Source organism: Homo sapiens, chromosome 5 (assembly GCF_000001405.40).
Source record: "Homo sapiens chromosome 5, GRCh38.p14 Primary Assembly".
NCBI classification, from domain to species: domain Eukaryota; kingdom Metazoa; phylum Chordata; class Mammalia; order Primates; family Hominidae; genus Homo; species Homo sapiens.
The window spans coordinates 151,509,728-151,524,308 of record NC_000005.10 but is presented as its reverse complement, the minus strand read 5'-3'; the positions used below and the strand labels follow the sequence as shown (position 1 = coordinate 151,524,308).

Below are 14,581 nucleotides of genomic sequence, written 5' to 3'. Positions count from 1 at the left end.
AATAATACTTGGTAGTAGCTGATTTACAACAGGTAAAAATCAAGACTGTCCTTGACAAACCAGGGCATCCAATCTTCTAAGTATAAGCCTTGGTAACACTTTTAGATTCTAATCTAAGTACAATGAGAGGTGGTTGGAGGGTTTCAGACGGAAAAGGGATCCTCTTTGTGTCTCAGGAAGCTCATTTTTCAAGCTCTATAGAGTGGGTGAGGGAGACCAGTGAGAAGTCATCCAAGCTGGAGATAGTGGGGCTGAGACCACGGAGTGATGGAGAAGATGCAGGAAGCGGAGAGATTTCGGACATATTTTGTATGTAAATTGATAGGAGTTGGTGGAGTGGATGTGCAGTTAGAAAGAACAGAGACGATTCAGGGGTGATTTCTAAATTGTTGGCTCCCATGAAGACTTCGGTGGTAGTGCATTTATGAGACTGGAAAGGCCCAGACGGGAAGGCAGGACAGGTTTATGGGCTAAACCGAAGCTCTGTTTTGCACATTATTTCCCAGTTGTTTGTGAGACATCCAAGCAGAGGTGTCCAGTGGGTAGCTGGGAATTGGAGTTGGCAGCTCAGAGGATTGGTAGATGGCCCTCAAAGCCAAGAGCATGGATGTGATTGCCTAGGGAGAGATGAGAGAGAATGGCTTCCTGACCTCTGTATTCTCAGACCCAGGCACACGTCCTGCCTAGACAGGAGCTTAGTAATGACTGGCATCATCACCATCAATTGCATTGGTCCCGTACTTCCACTTCCATGCACTGGGAGGCACCATAGGCCAGCAAAGAAAAACACAGGCTATAGACACAGATAGGTATTCAGATTCTGCTCAGGCCTTATCTGCTGCTGTATGACCTTGGGCAAGTTACTTCACCTCTTTGAGCCTCAGTTATATTTTTTGTAGGATGGGTGACTTGATAGTACCTATCTCATAAGAAGGATAAACTAGGATAATGTATTTACAGCATTATCATAGTTTATCTATGATAATGACTAGCATTGTACTCAGTTAATGTTAGCTATGTATTATATATAATCGGTAGTAGTAGTATTGTTGTAACTAATGTTAGCTATACATTATAATTAACAGTAGTGTTAATTATTATTGTTGCTATTAATATCTCTTCGGTGTTATGCATGACTTCCAGCAGTAGGTGTAATCTTATCAACTTTCTTGTACATTAAAAGTGTTGGAGTGCAGGTGAACAAGATATTACTACAGGGAAAATTGTGGAGACCCTCGTTGACAGCTGAGGAAGTGATAACATCACTGAGGAGAAGAAGGCAAGCCTGTCCTTTCTAAGTCAGGCAGGAAGTTGCAGGGATGTGTGGTGAAACATGAAAGGAAAATGCGTTTATGATTTACATTCTTTTCCCTACTTAAGTGAGGTCCTGTCACCCTCACGGCTTTTCACAGTTCTGACATTAACTGCAACCCTGCGCGTGCCAGCCCATCAGTGAGGTCAGGCCTGCTTCCCTGCCCACTTGCTCCAGCACCAGTGACCCCGTCTGTGCTGTTGAACACACCGCCTTCATTCCTACCCCAGGACCTTACACTTGCTGCTCCCTCTGTCTGTCGCCTCTTCTTCTCATCCCTCAGGACTCAAATGTCACTCCACAGAGACTCCTTCTCTTCTACCTGATCAAAGTTAGGTCTCTGTTTATTTCCTTCCCAGCATTTTATCCAAGTTATTTGGTAACTTATTTATTGTCTCTTTTCTCCTGGCCACAGCAGAAGACTTCGTTGACTGACTAGAAGGACAAATCCCGACTCCCACTCCAATCGCATAGCAAAAGGGAATCCCAAGGGGAATTTTCGTAGGCTGAGCAGGGTGCATGGTGCATCAGAATTGCTGAGACATCTGAGGGCGCCCTTGAGGACAGGGACAGAATGAGAAACTTCATGAGGAAGTTAGCCCAAGTCTATGGCTGGAGAGATTTAGGAAGAGGCTCAGAGAGATGTCACATGAGGAAACTGCATTGTTTTACTGCATGGTATAGGATGTAACTCCCTCCTTCAATCTCTACAAAACCTTCAGAAAATCTTTCTTTTCTGTCAGTGCTTTTGGAGTTAGGTTTTTTTTTTCTAAATGCAACAATGCGCTGAGCCAGCCCTCAAGTTGGGCGTGGGGCAGAGAAACGTAGCTCCACAAGGAGGCCCAGCCTCAGTCGGGCGCAAGAGCACTGCAGTTCTGTTGGGTGACAGCAGTGTTTGTTTTGCCCACAGGCGTCAGACAGTGGCATCCCTCCCCTCTCGTCTTTGACGTCTGTCCGTGTCCATGTCACAGAGCAGAGCCACTATGCACCTTCTGCTCTCCCACTGGAGATCTTCATCACTGTTGGAGAGGATGAGTTCCAGGGTGGCATGGTGGGTAAGATCCATGCCACAGACCGAGACCCCCAGGACACGCTGACCTATAGCCTGGCAGAAGAGGAGACCCTGGGCAGGCACTTCTCAGTGGGTGCGCCTGATGGCAAGATTATCGCCGCCCAGGGCCTGCCTCGTGGCCACTACTCGTTCAACGTCACGGTCAGCGATGGGACCTTCACCACGACTGCTGGGGTCCATGTGTACGTGTGGCATGTGGGGCAGGAGGCTCTGCAGCAGGCCATGTGGATGGGCTTCTACCAGCTCACCCCCGAGGAGCTGGTGAGTGACCACTGGCGGAACCTGCAGAGGTTCCTCAGCCATAAGCTGGACATCAAACGGGCTAACATTCACTTGGCCAGCCTCCAGCCTGCAGAGGCCGTGGCTGGTGTGGATGTGCTCCTGGTCTTTGAGGGGCATTCTGGAACCTTCTACGAGTTTCAGGAGCTAGCATCCATCATCACTCACTCAGCCAAGGAGATGGAGCATTCAGTGGGGGTTCAGATGCGGTCAGCTATGCCCATGGTGCCCTGCCAGGGGCCAACCTGCCAGGGTCAAATCTGCCATAACACAGTGCATCTGGACCCCAAGGTTGGGCCCACGTACAGCACCGCCAGGCTCAGCATCCTAACCCCGCGGCACCACCTGCAGAGGAGCTGCTCCTGCAATGGTAAGTACTACATCTTCCCTAGGGACGAGCAGCACTGCTGGGCTCAGCCCGCCTGACTCTAAGCATGGAGATTCCACTGAGGCTCTGTGGGAGAGTTCAGGGAAGTTTTAATAAGCCCAAAGGCCACCAATCACCATAAGACGGCTAGTGGCCTCACAAAATCTAGTTATGGAATAATACCCAATTCTCAGCTCCCTTTCGAGATTTAGAAAATAACAGTAAGACTACAATATGTGGTTTAACATCATGGCTAAGAGCATAGGCTGTGGCTTCAGTCTTCATGGGTTAAAATCCCAGCTCTACCCCTTACTAACCAGGCGACTTTAGGAAAATTAACCTCTCTGTGCCTTTGAGCTGGGCTGCTGTAGGAATTACATCAGTACTATGTATCAAGTGCTTGCTTAGAACAGTGCCTGACATATAGAAAGTGGTCAATACATGTGAGTTACTAATACTGCTACTATTATTACCATAGTCTGGTGGTTATAAGCTCAAGGCTTAGACTCAGACAGCTCAGGTTCAAACCCTAGCTCCATCAGTCACTAGCTGTGTAACTTTGGGTGTATTGTTAAAACCCTCTGAGCTTTTTAGTTTCCCATCTATAAAATAGTCAAAATAAATACATCTGCCTCCTGGAGTTGGGTTCGGGGGGGAAATTACGTAAGAGTTATAAAAGCACTTAACCCATGGCTGGCCCACAATAAGCCCCAGATCAACGGTGACTGTCATTCCCGTGGTAGCAGTTGCTATAGGGAGCCTGCTGTACGCCACACTCTGTGTAGATGTCACCTAAACTAATCGGCACCACAGCCCTACCAAGCAGGGTCATTAGCCCCATCTGCAGTTGGAACTGAGATATGAGATTTAGTTTGCCTGAAATTGTACAGCTTCCAATGAAGGCCTCGTTATTCAAATATCTGTGTGTCCCACTCTAAAGCCTGAACTCTTCACTAAGCTCCTCAGGCACTCCAAGACTCACCCAGCATCCCTGGCATTAAGGCCAAGGGAGCAGCTCAGGAGCCTTGGCTAAAGGAAAGTGACATGACCTTCAGCTCACCAGCGCTCCTGCCTGGCCTGGCCTGACCTGCCCTTTATGGGTCCAGCTGCCTGGCATTCGGGATATCATTTCTCAGAAGATTTGTGGACTTTGTCCAGGGACCACTCGATTTAGGCTGGGTGGGCTTCTCTCTGTTGGGGAGAGGATTTCCTTCTCTGTGTTTCTTGCCCCAGGGCCTGCTTCAGGGAAAGCCAAGAAGGCTGAAGGGTCTCTCTCAGCCACCTGGCATCAGACAGCAGGGGTTCTAAAATTCAAGATTTTGCAAAGTCTACTGGAGAGCGTGATTTTAAAGAGACATGCTCCTGGGTGTCACCTCCAGAGGTTTTAATTTAGAAGGTTCTGAGTGAGTCCTAGAATTGGCATTTAATTCTGAAGCAGCAGGTGCAAGGGCTTGCATTGAAGAAATACTAGATAAACTCATGGATCACCAGAATCAGTTGAAAAGAGGTTTTTTATTTTTTAACATTTTAGTGAAATATAAAACATACAGGAAACCAATTCATGTATCATAAGTACACACCTCAAATAATTTTTATAAAGCAAATATATCTGTGTAGCCAACGCCCAGATCAAGGAAAGAATATGACCACCATCTCAGAAGCCTCCCTTGGGCCCCCCTTCCAGTTGTTACACCCATGATGGTAAGATTTTTAAAATACATATTTCCACGTGCCACCCAGAACTACTGAATCAGATTCTCCGAGAGAACTTAGGATTCTGTGTCATAAAGATTCTCCAGCTGATCCTGATATCCAGCCGGGGTGGGAATTTCTGATCTAGATCATCTTCAATATCCCATCCAATAAGTACCTACTACAATGGAATTGCCAGTGTCAGGGAATTTTGGACTTGTTTGGATTTTTGTTTTTGTTTTTGAGATGAAGTCTCGCTCTGTCACTCAGGCTGGAGTGCAGTGGCACGATCTTGGCTCACTGCAACTTCCACCTCCCAGGTTCAAGCAAGTCTGCTGCCTCAGCCTCGTGAGTAGCTGGAATTACAGGCGAGTGCCACCATGCCCAGGTAATTTTTGTATTTTTAGTAGAGACGGGGTTTCACCACGTTGACCAGGCTGGTCTCGAACTCCTGACCTCAGGTGATCTGCCTGTCTTGGCCTTCCAAAGTTCTGGGATTACAGGTGTGAGCCACTGCGTCCAGCTGGAATGTGTGGATGTTATAATCCCTTGTGCCTCATCTTTTCTGGTTCTTTCTTCTCCTCCTTTTGGCTTTTGTTCTCTCTCTTCAACAATTCCTCTTTGCTAGGTATCTAGAGGCTGGACCGCTCATCCTCTCCCCTGACAACTGACAAGCTTATTTACACTGGGGTTTTGGGGATTTCATAGCTGGACTCACTTCTGGGGAGGGTGGATATTTTTTAAAATCTGGGGAGGGCAGTGCTTCCCAAAGGGGGTTCAACAGAATGCTATTCCCAAGAGTGGTCCACATAAGAGTGTCCCACAGTCAAAGATGCTTAAGAAACTCAAGTTTACTCCATACTATGCAACTGTGCATTAGCCATTGCTAAGGCGGGATGGAGGATGCCAGACTTTACAAAAGTTTTGGCCATACAGTCTATCACTGCCCCTCTCTCTTTATCATAGAGTGGCTCTTGACCTCTCAGCCGCATTTTATTGTTTACCTAAATGATTAACTCCTGCTCATACAAGGAACTATCCTGAGGCAAAAACCCTTGTGGGTCTAAAATCACACACACATGCAGTATCTACATTCCCAGTGTAGATTCCCAACACCAGAAATAACATGGAAACTATGTAGAATAAAAATTTTGATTTTCACACACTTGATTCATTACATTTCTGGCCTGATTTTTACTTTCTTTTAAAAATTATTATTATTATTATTATTATTATTAGAGACATGGTCTCTCTCTGTCACCCAGGCTGGAATAGAGTGGCAAGATCATGGTTCACTGCAGCCTTGACTTCCTGGGCTCAAGTGATACTCCTGCCTCAGCTGAGAGGATGTAATTCCAAGTAACTGGAGTTACAGGCATGAGGCACCATGCCTGGCTATTTTTATTTTTATTTTATGTTTTAGAGATGAGGTCTTGCTCTGTTGCCCAGGCTGGTCTCGAACTTCTGGGTTCAGGTGATCCTCCCGCCACAGCCTCCCAAAGTGCTGGGATTATAGGCATGAGCCACCTCACCTGGATGACTTTTGCTTTCTTAATGGTTTAAATTCATATTTCTTGACCCAGCCTGGGACCTAAGGCAGGGGTCCCTGCAGTCAACAAAAGGTAGGGTGAAGGCTCCTGTCTGGCTCTACGTGTGAGGCTAGAAAGGTATGGCACACCCCACACCCAGCCTAGTTTCTTCATGTATAAAATATGAGCAATGATTCTGTCTGCCACCCAAGGATTAAATAAGACAAAGTCAGTCCAAGGGCTCAATGGGGACCACTTCAAGTAGAGGTGACAGCTTTGGTTGCTTTCTCAGGTACTGCTACAAGGTTCAGTGGTCAGAGCTATGTGCGGTACAGGGCCCCAGCGGCTCGGAACTGGCACATCCATTTCTATCTGAAAACACTCCAGCCACAGGCCATTCTTCTATTCACCAATGAAACAGCGTCCGTCTCCCTGAAGGTAAGGCACTGCCAGCCTGAGAGATTTCATGTGGGTGTCCCAGGCTGGGGAGGTAGGGGGTGAGGCATGAGGAATGTCAGGAAGCCCATTTCTGCCAAAGAAATCCCTGCACAGTTTTCAGGGATTCTGGGTGTGACTGTTGGGCCACATGATTATCCTGTCCTGGATGGCCACAGCCACCCAACCTGGAGATATACGTCCAAGGACGGTCACAAGTGGGGCTGCTTACTCTGTGGGGTAAGATAGAAATGGAGATGGATGAGGTCAACTAGCCCTGGTGCCGTTATCATTTTTGCTGAGTAATAGGCCAGTGTTTCCCAGGGATGGGGGGATTGCTTACCACTGGGGGTGCTCAAACCCCATGGAATCACATGGAAGAAAAATAAATTTCCTTTGTAATAATCATTCAGTTATTTGGATTATGTCATGTGGAAGGTCACAGTCTGCCTGTGATTTTAACACCTCTATCACATATGCCAATCTACCATTTCTTTTTTCTTTTTTTTTTTTTTGAGATGGAGTCTCTCTCTGTCACCGAGGCTGGAGTGCAGTGGTGTGATTTCAGATCACTGCAACCTCTGTCTCCCAGGTTCAAGCGATTCTCCTGCCTCAGCTTCCCGAGTAGTTGGGATTACAGGCACACACCACCATGCCTGGCTATTTTTTGTATTTTTTAAGTAGAGATGGGGTTTTGCCATGTTGGCCAGGCTGGTCTCGAACTCCTGACCTCAGGTGATCCGCCTGCCTCGGCATCCCAAAGTGCTAGGATTACAGGCATGAACCACTGCCCTCAGCCCCAACCTACCATTTCAACAAAGAGAAAGCCAACTTTGGCCACTAGATTTTAATTCATTCAAAACAGATTTATTGAGCATCTACTATGTGACAGGCACTGTCCTAGGTGCTTGGGTCTCATCAGTGAAAAAGACAGAAATCCCTTTTAAAGCTTTTGTTCTATGGGGGAGAGACTGACAATAAACATAAACATAATAGCTCAGAAAATTATAGAATTTGTTCAAATGTGATAAGTATTATGAGCAAAAAGGAAAAAATGGAGGGGCATCAGGGGTGAGGAGAGTTGCAATTTTTATTTATTTATTTATTGAGACAGAGTCTCACTCTGTCGCCCAGGCTGGAGGGCAGTGGCATGATCTCAGCTCACTGCAACCTCTGCCTCCTGGGTTCAGGTGATTCTTGTGTCTCAGTCTCTGGAGTAGCTGGAATTACAGGTGTGTGCAACCACGCTCACTAATTTTTTTCTTTTGCGTCTTTAGCAGAGACGAGGTTTCACCATGTTGGCCAGGCTGGTCTTGAACTCCTGGCCTCAAGCGATCCACCCACCTTGGCCTCCCAAAGTGCTGGGATTATAGGCATGAAACACATGCCCAGCCGGAGTTACAATTTTACAATTTTAAATAAGGTGGCCAGGGAAGCTTTCATTGAGATAATAATTGAGCAATAATTTGGAGAGGGTGAGAAAGTTAGCTCTATGGACATCTGGAAGGAACAACATTCTAGATAGAGGGAATAGCAATGTGAAAGCCTTTTGGCAGGAGAATGCTTAGCATGTTTAAGCAATGGGTTGGAGTTCTACCTGGCTCCAGTGAAGTGGGTAAAGGGAACAGTAGGAGGAGGAGTTGGTCAGAGACGTAATGGGATGGGGCATATCTATGAAGGTCTTGTAGGACATTGTAAGGACTTTGGCTTTTATTCTGAGCAAAATGGAGGCATTAGAAGGTTTTGAGCAGATAATTGCAATGATCTATTTTAAAAGGGTCATCATGGCTTCTTTGTTGAGAATCGACTTTAGAGAAACAAAGATAGGAGCAGAGAGACCCAGTCAGGAGGCCACTGCAATAATTTGGATAAGAGAGGATGGTGGTTTAGACCAGGGTGATGACAGAGGAATTGGAAAGAAGATAGATTCTACAAAGATTTTGAAGGCAAAGCCAACAGGATTTCCCAGTGAATTGAATGAAGGGTGGGAGAGAAGGCAAGTAGTGAGATTTTGGCCTGGGCAACTGGAAGAATGGAGTTTGTGCCAGCAGGCCTGGGGAAGGGTATGGGTGGATACAAGGTTTGGGGAGGGGAGATCAGAGTGCAGTTTCGGATGTGTAAGTTTCAGATGCCCATTAGACCTCCAAGTGGATCTGGTAAGACAAGCCTAATGTTGTGAGGGGTCTATGCTGGAGATGGAGATCTGGGAGTCTTCAGCGCATACGTGGTACTGAAAGCCATGAGATGGGAGATCACCAAGCAATGTAGATTGAAGAGAGAGTAGGCCAAGGATTACTCCTTGAGACCCTCCAACATTAGCAGGTCTGGGGGAAGAGGGGATTCAACAAAGGAGACTGAACATGAGTAACCGGTGATGCTGGAGGAAAACCCAGGGAGTATTGTATGCAGGAAGCCAAGTGAAGAACACGTATCAAGAAGGAAGGAGTGATCTGTTGGGTGATCTGCTGCTGAGAGGCCAGTAAGATGGGAAGTGATTTGGCAACACAGAGATCATTGAATCCCCTGACACCAATGGTTTCCGTGTATGGTGGGTTGGGGTGAAATTTTGCGGAAAAGGGACAGGAAAGAAGGAAAATATCTGGCTGGAAAACTGAGGTGAAGACAACCTTTTTTAAAAAAATAAAGATTATCATCTGTAAAGAAGGTATATTTTTGAAAATAAAGATTAGAGCAATAACACCATGTGTGTATGCTGTGGAATGATATAGTGGTGAACGAACAAAGATGTAAGAAAGAGGAAGGAGAATCAGTAGACCCTTGAGGAGGTGAGGAGGTAGAATCTAGTGCATAAATGGAGAGATTGGCTTTAGCTAAGGTGGATAGATGTGATGGTGAAAGTGCCTGCAGGTTCCCCCATCTGATGATTTCAGTAGGATGTGAGATGATCAGCTGAGAGTGGGAATGAGGAGGGAGGCATTAGGGATCTCAGGAGAGAGACGTAGTGAAAACAGTCATCTGGAAGAACGGATGGACTCAGGAAGGGAGTGTGATTGCTGGGCAGCATTAAAGGCTCATTTGAGAGCCATGGTCATGAAATTAAAGAGAGGCTCGTGAGCAAAGCTGCACGTTTTTCTCCAGCCATGTTCTGCTCCATGTCTGTATAGAGCAGGTGGAGAGTTAGCTTTTTCCATAGTTGTGGGTTTACCAAGAGAGTTCTACGAAGTAAGAAAGAGATAGGTCAAGAGTATGTGAAGGGAGTAGTTAGGATGATTGACTATGGAACTTAAACTGGATAAGGAGAGGAACGAGGACATTACAGAGGTGGGAGACAATGAAAAGACGGTGGGATCAACAGATTTGTGGTCCCAGACAGATAAAAAGAAATGATTTCATTGCAATGTTTTACTTGAGTTGCATTCATTTTTGTTATCCCCCTTTCTTAAAGGCAAGTGTGTTGGTTTTCTATTTACCCTAATAATAGTGTCTCCTTTTTAAGTAAATAAAGGTATAGGTAGTATTCAACTGGGGCAAAAATCTGAGAGGTGGTCTACAGATAGCCAATGTATAAGAAACACTGGGTTAGATCTTCAAATTTCAACAGAGAAAACTCTACCTAGCCCAAAGTGACCAGAAAAGTATTTGGTCACAGGCAGTCCTACCTCTTGGGAATGAAGTGAATTAAAATGTTTTAACCCAGTGGTTCTCAGACTTTTTGACTTCAGGACTTTTTACACTCTTGAAAATTATTGAGGATTCCAGGGAAGTTTTGGTTATGTGGGTTATAACTATCAACATATTCAGTATTAGACATTAAAACTGAGATATTTAAAAATGTATTAATTTATTTAGAAATAATAAACTCACATGTCAACATAAATACCTTAATTAATTAAATAATTTTTTTCTTCCAATTTTTAGTTTAGTTTCGGGGGTACATATGCAGGTTTGTTATACGGGTAACCGATGTATCATAGGGGATTGGTGTACATATTACTTCATCACCCAAGGAATAAGCATAGTTCCTGATAGGTAGTTTTTTGTCCTTAACCTTCTCCCACCCTCTGCCCTCAAGTAGGCCCTGATGTCTATTGTTCCCTTCTTTGCGTCCCTGTGTACTCAGCATTTAGTTCCCACTTGTAAGTGAGAACATGTGGTATTTGATTTCCTGTTCCTGTGTTAGTTTGCTTAGGATAATGGCCGCCAACTCCATCCATGTTGCTGCAAAGGACATAATCTCATTCTTTTTTATGGCTGAATGGTTGTCCATGGTGTATCTGTACCATATTTTCTTTATCCAGCCCACTGTTGTTGAGCATCTAGGTTGATTCCATGTCTTTGCTATTGTGAAAAGTGCTGCAATCAACATATGAGTGTATGTCTTTATATATTTTTATGAAAAATAATTACTTTCCGAAAGAAAAAGGAAGAGTGGCATTGTTTTACATTTTTGCAAGCCTCTCTTTTGCCTGGCTTAATAGAAGATAGCTGGCTTCTCATATTTACTTCTGCATTCATCAGTTGTGACAACATGTGTCTCCAAAACTCTGTTGTATACTTGTGAGAAAACAAAGGCAAATCAACTCTTAGGATTACTATAAAAATACTTTGCCCTTGTGGCTTCCCTGAAAAGGTCTTGGGGACCTACTTTGAGAACTGCTAAGCTGTTGAATAAGGAAGTGGGAGTGGGAGACAGGTTTTTCAAATCGCTGAAGGCCAATATTCACAAGTGTGGAACTCTGGACAGGCCTGTGAAGAAGCATCCAAAATACAGGGTCTTGATCAGCAAAGCATCTCTCGGCCTCAGTTTCCTCATCTGTGAATGGAGATGTCACCCCCTACCCAGACCATCCCATGGGGTGTGGTGAGAACAAAGGAGACCATCAACACAAAAGCACTTTGAGGGTTTTTATGCTCTGCAAATGCCATGTCTAAAACAGCCAAACACCCCCCTCCTACCCATAAAAATACAAACAACATTCTTTGAACTGGCAGCCTCTTAGCAGGTTTACAAGGACTCCTTGGCTTTGCTGATGGCTGTTTGGATTTCCTTTGCAGCTGGCCAGTGGAGTGCCCCAGCTGGAATACCACTGTCTGGGTGGTTTCTATGGAAACCTTTCCTCCCAGCGCCATGTGAATGACCACGAGTGGCACTCCATCCTGGTGGAGGAGATGGACGCTTCCATTCGCCTGATGGTTGACAGCATGGGCAACACCTCCCTTGTGGTCCCAGAGAACTGCCGTGGTCTGAGGCCCGAAAGGCACCTCTTGCTGGGCGGCCTCATTCTGTTGCATTCTTCCTCGAATGTCTCCCAGGGCTTTGAAGGCTGCCTGGATGCTGTCGTGGTCAACGAAGAGGCTCTAGATCTGCTGGCCCCTGGCAAGACGGTGGCAGGCTTGCTGGAGACACAAGCCCTCACCCAGTGCTGCCTCCACAGTGACTACTGCAGCCAGAACACATGCCTCAATGGTGGGAAGTGCTCATGGACCCATGGGGCAGGTGAGGGCTGGGGTGCCAGGCTGAACCCAGGGTTTATCCCAGAAGGCTCTTCAGGTGGGAAAAGCATGTCAGGGTGGAGATCTCAGAGCCTCCTGGTTCCAAATTTCTCTCTCTTCCCCTAACTTGTGAGTAACAGGTTGGAATCTGCAATATCTAGACTAGGGGAAGCCAGGAGTCTTCCTTCCCTCTCAACAAAAACTATCTTTCTACTTCTGGGGGGATGAGGGAGGATATGAATGGGGACCTCAGGGGCAGAGGGTTGAATTAATCACATACCTTAGTGTCATCACTGGTCTATGCACAGTCTCCTTCTCATTCCCCTTTAACTTATATTCCACTCCCTTCCCCTTCCCTAACACTAGAGGCAAACATTTACAGTTTTTGAATGAGTTCTTGCAAAATACATGTTGTTTTTCATATGCTTGAATTTCCAATTTATATAAGTGGTATATGTTGTTTACGCTTTCGCTCAGCACCATATTTTTAAGATCTGTCAATGCTGCCATGAGCAATTCTCATTAATTGCTTCTAACTGTGGCTCAGTACTCCATGATGTACACGCACTCACATTTTCCCTCTCCACCCTCGCACTCCAAACACCCATCTCCATCATCAATGCTGCAGGGAGCATTCTCCTATATGTCTCCTTGTGAAGCTGTGTGAGAGTTTCCTTCACACACACACACCCGACACCCAGGGGTGGAAGTCACAGGCTCACAGTATGCAAATAATTATTTTGACTAAATAGGGATACATTGCTCTCAGCATGGCTATTCTATACATCACATGCAACATGAGCGGTTCCTGTGTACCCACATGCCTCTCAGCCATCTATTCTATACATCACACACAACATGAGAGGTTCCTATGTACCCACATGCCTGTCAACATGTGACATGCCTGTCAACACTTCGCATTACCCCTTTTTCTGATTTTTGTCTGGCTAATCATGTCATTTCTACCTGCAAAATATCCAAGGAATCCATCACTTCTCTCTTTCCCCATTGCTGTCCCTCTGTCCCAAGCCCCCATCACCTCTCACCCTGGCACCAGCCTCCTCCCTGTTCTCCAGCTTCTATCCCGGCCTTCCACCTTCCAGCAGGAGCCGGGGTGATCTTTATCCAGCACAGACCTGTGCATGGCACTCTTCTGCTGAGAACTGCTCAGTGGCCGCCATGCTGCTAGGATAGAGTCCCAATCCCTGCATGTGGCTCCTGCACCTCCCAGGCCATAGTTCAAACTCTCCCTGTCCCTCACCAGGCTGGCCCACCCTGGTGTGGTTTGAGTTCCTTGACCATGCCACACCCTTCCCTAGCCTTTGCACGCACTCTTCTCTTCCGCCTGAAACACCTTTCTCTTTGCCCTCTAGCTTCTTGCCTAGCTAATTTCTACTCATCCTTCAGATCTCAAATGAAATAGCTCCCAGATCCCTAGAGTAAGCTAGCCTCATCCCCCACCCCTCCCAGCATTTCCCTTCAATAAAATTAATTTTATTATAATTACTGAGATACTGATATTATAGCTAGCTGTCTAGGTTTGAACCCCAGCTTTGCCATTTACTGGCTTGAGCAAATTCTGTCCATTCTCTGTGCCTCCTTTCCTCATCTGCCATCCCTTTGTACCTGTCCCCTGATGAGGATGATGACAGTCACCAACCTCAGGGTCATCGTGAGGATCAAATGAGCCAACACAGGAAGATCCTTGGAACAGTGACTAGCACTAAGTTAGTGTCTATGGTTGTTATCCTGTTTATTACTGTTCTTTAGGTGACTGTTGTCTCTGGTGGGCTGTAAGCTGTTTGAGGGCAGGGACCAAAGTGCTCTTGGTTCAGCAGGGCACCAATGCCCAGCACGGTATTGGGCACAGAGGGGAGCAACCAAATAAATAAATGGTAACTGAACGGCTGCACAAACACACCAGTCTGCCAATGCCAGGTCTCCTTTAACTGCTAGGCCAGTGCGGTCTCTCACCTCCCTTCTTTTTCTCCTAGGCTATGTCTGCAAATGTCCCCCACAGTTCTCTGGGAAGCACTGTGAACAAGGAAGGGAGAACTGTACTTTTGCACCCTGCCTGGAAGGTGGAACTTGCATCCTCTCCCCCAAAGGAGCTTCCTGTAACTGCCCTCATCCTTACACAGGAGACAGGTAATCCCAGGAGAGGCCACCTGCCATGGGCTCCTTGTTAGGGAATGCGCTCTGTACTCTGACCTCTAGAAAGTCCAATGGGAGGCCAGGGGAGAGTGCTGCAGGGACCTGGCTTCTAGGCCTTTTCCATCTGTTAGGGCAGTGGTCCCCAACCTTTTTGGCACCAGGGACCGGTTTCATGGAAGACACTTTTTCCACGGACCAGGCAGGAGAAACGGGAGATGGTTTCAGGATGATTCAAGCACATGACATTTATTGCACACTTTATTTCTATTATTATTACATTGTAATAT

At 46.2% G+C, this 14,581-nt stretch overlaps 2 protein-coding genes and 1 non-coding gene across 10 annotated transcripts in view, besides 4 other annotated features; 2 read left to right on the top strand and 1 right to left on the bottom strand.

The window, feature by feature from the left end:
* Nucleotides 1-14,581, bottom strand: part of SLC36A1 (solute carrier family 36 member 1) — a 211,490-nt gene that overhangs the window by 31,777 nt on the left and 165,132 nt on the right. The gene's annotated exons all lie outside the window — the stretch shown is intronic.
* The window catches only part of FAT2 (FAT atypical cadherin 2), a 90,728-nt gene that overhangs the window by 70,511 nt on the left and 5,636 nt on the right, over nucleotides 1-14,581 (top strand). For 5 of the 6 annotated variants that reach the window (XM_017009225.2, XM_011537600.3, XM_017009224.2 and 2 more), the window contains 4 exons: nucleotides 2,223-3,033; nucleotides 6,544-6,689; nucleotides 11,703-12,144; nucleotides 14,135-14,288. In XM_017009225.2, the coding sequence (XP_016864714.1) occupies nucleotides 2,223-3,033; nucleotides 6,544-6,689; nucleotides 11,703-12,144; nucleotides 14,135-14,288 (1,553 nt within the window). The remainder of the gene's footprint in view (nucleotides 1-2,222; nucleotides 3,034-6,543; nucleotides 6,690-11,702; nucleotides 12,145-14,134; nucleotides 14,289-14,581) is intronic. The other variant, XM_047416934.1, reaches the window with a different exon arrangement.
* Nucleotides 2,156-2,325: an enhancer, noted in NCBI's record as "experimental_82555 CRE fragment used in MPRA reporter constructs". NCBI's record gives its function as "activates a minimal promoter by MPRAs in K562 erythroleukemia cells, with activity observed for the non-introgressed 5:150901630 variant allele {active_cell/tissue: K562}" and the evidence as "EXISTENCE:reporter gene assay evidence [ECO:0000049][PMID:34662402]".
* On the top strand, nucleotides 2,161-2,222 carry MIR6499 (microRNA 6499). Its single transcript, NR_106752.1, has one exon. It is a non-coding gene; the product is annotated as a microRNA 6499 (primary transcript).
* Nucleotides 4,011-4,180: an enhancer, noted in NCBI's record as "experimental_82543 CRE fragment used in MPRA reporter constructs". NCBI's record gives its function as "activates a minimal promoter by MPRAs in K562 erythroleukemia cells, with activity observed for both the introgressed and non-introgressed 5:150899775 variant alleles {active_cell/tissue: K562}" and the evidence as "EXISTENCE:reporter gene assay evidence [ECO:0000049][PMID:34662402]".
* Nucleotides 6,969-7,138: an enhancer, noted in NCBI's record as "experimental_82540 CRE fragment used in MPRA reporter constructs". NCBI's record gives its function as "activates a minimal promoter by MPRAs in K562 erythroleukemia cells, with activity observed for both the introgressed and non-introgressed 5:150896817 or rs6870052 variant alleles {active_cell/tissue: K562}" and the evidence as "EXISTENCE:reporter gene assay evidence [ECO:0000049][PMID:34662402]".
* Nucleotide 7,053: a transcriptional cis regulatory region, noted in NCBI's record as "Neanderthal adaptively introgressed variant 5:150896817 (GRCh37/hg19 assembly coordinates) or rs6870052 in the experimental_82540 CRE". NCBI's record gives its function as "modulates activity of the experimental_82540 enhancer by MPRAs in K562 erythroleukemia cells {active_cell/tissue: K562}" and the evidence as "EXISTENCE:reporter gene assay evidence [ECO:0000049][PMID:34662402]".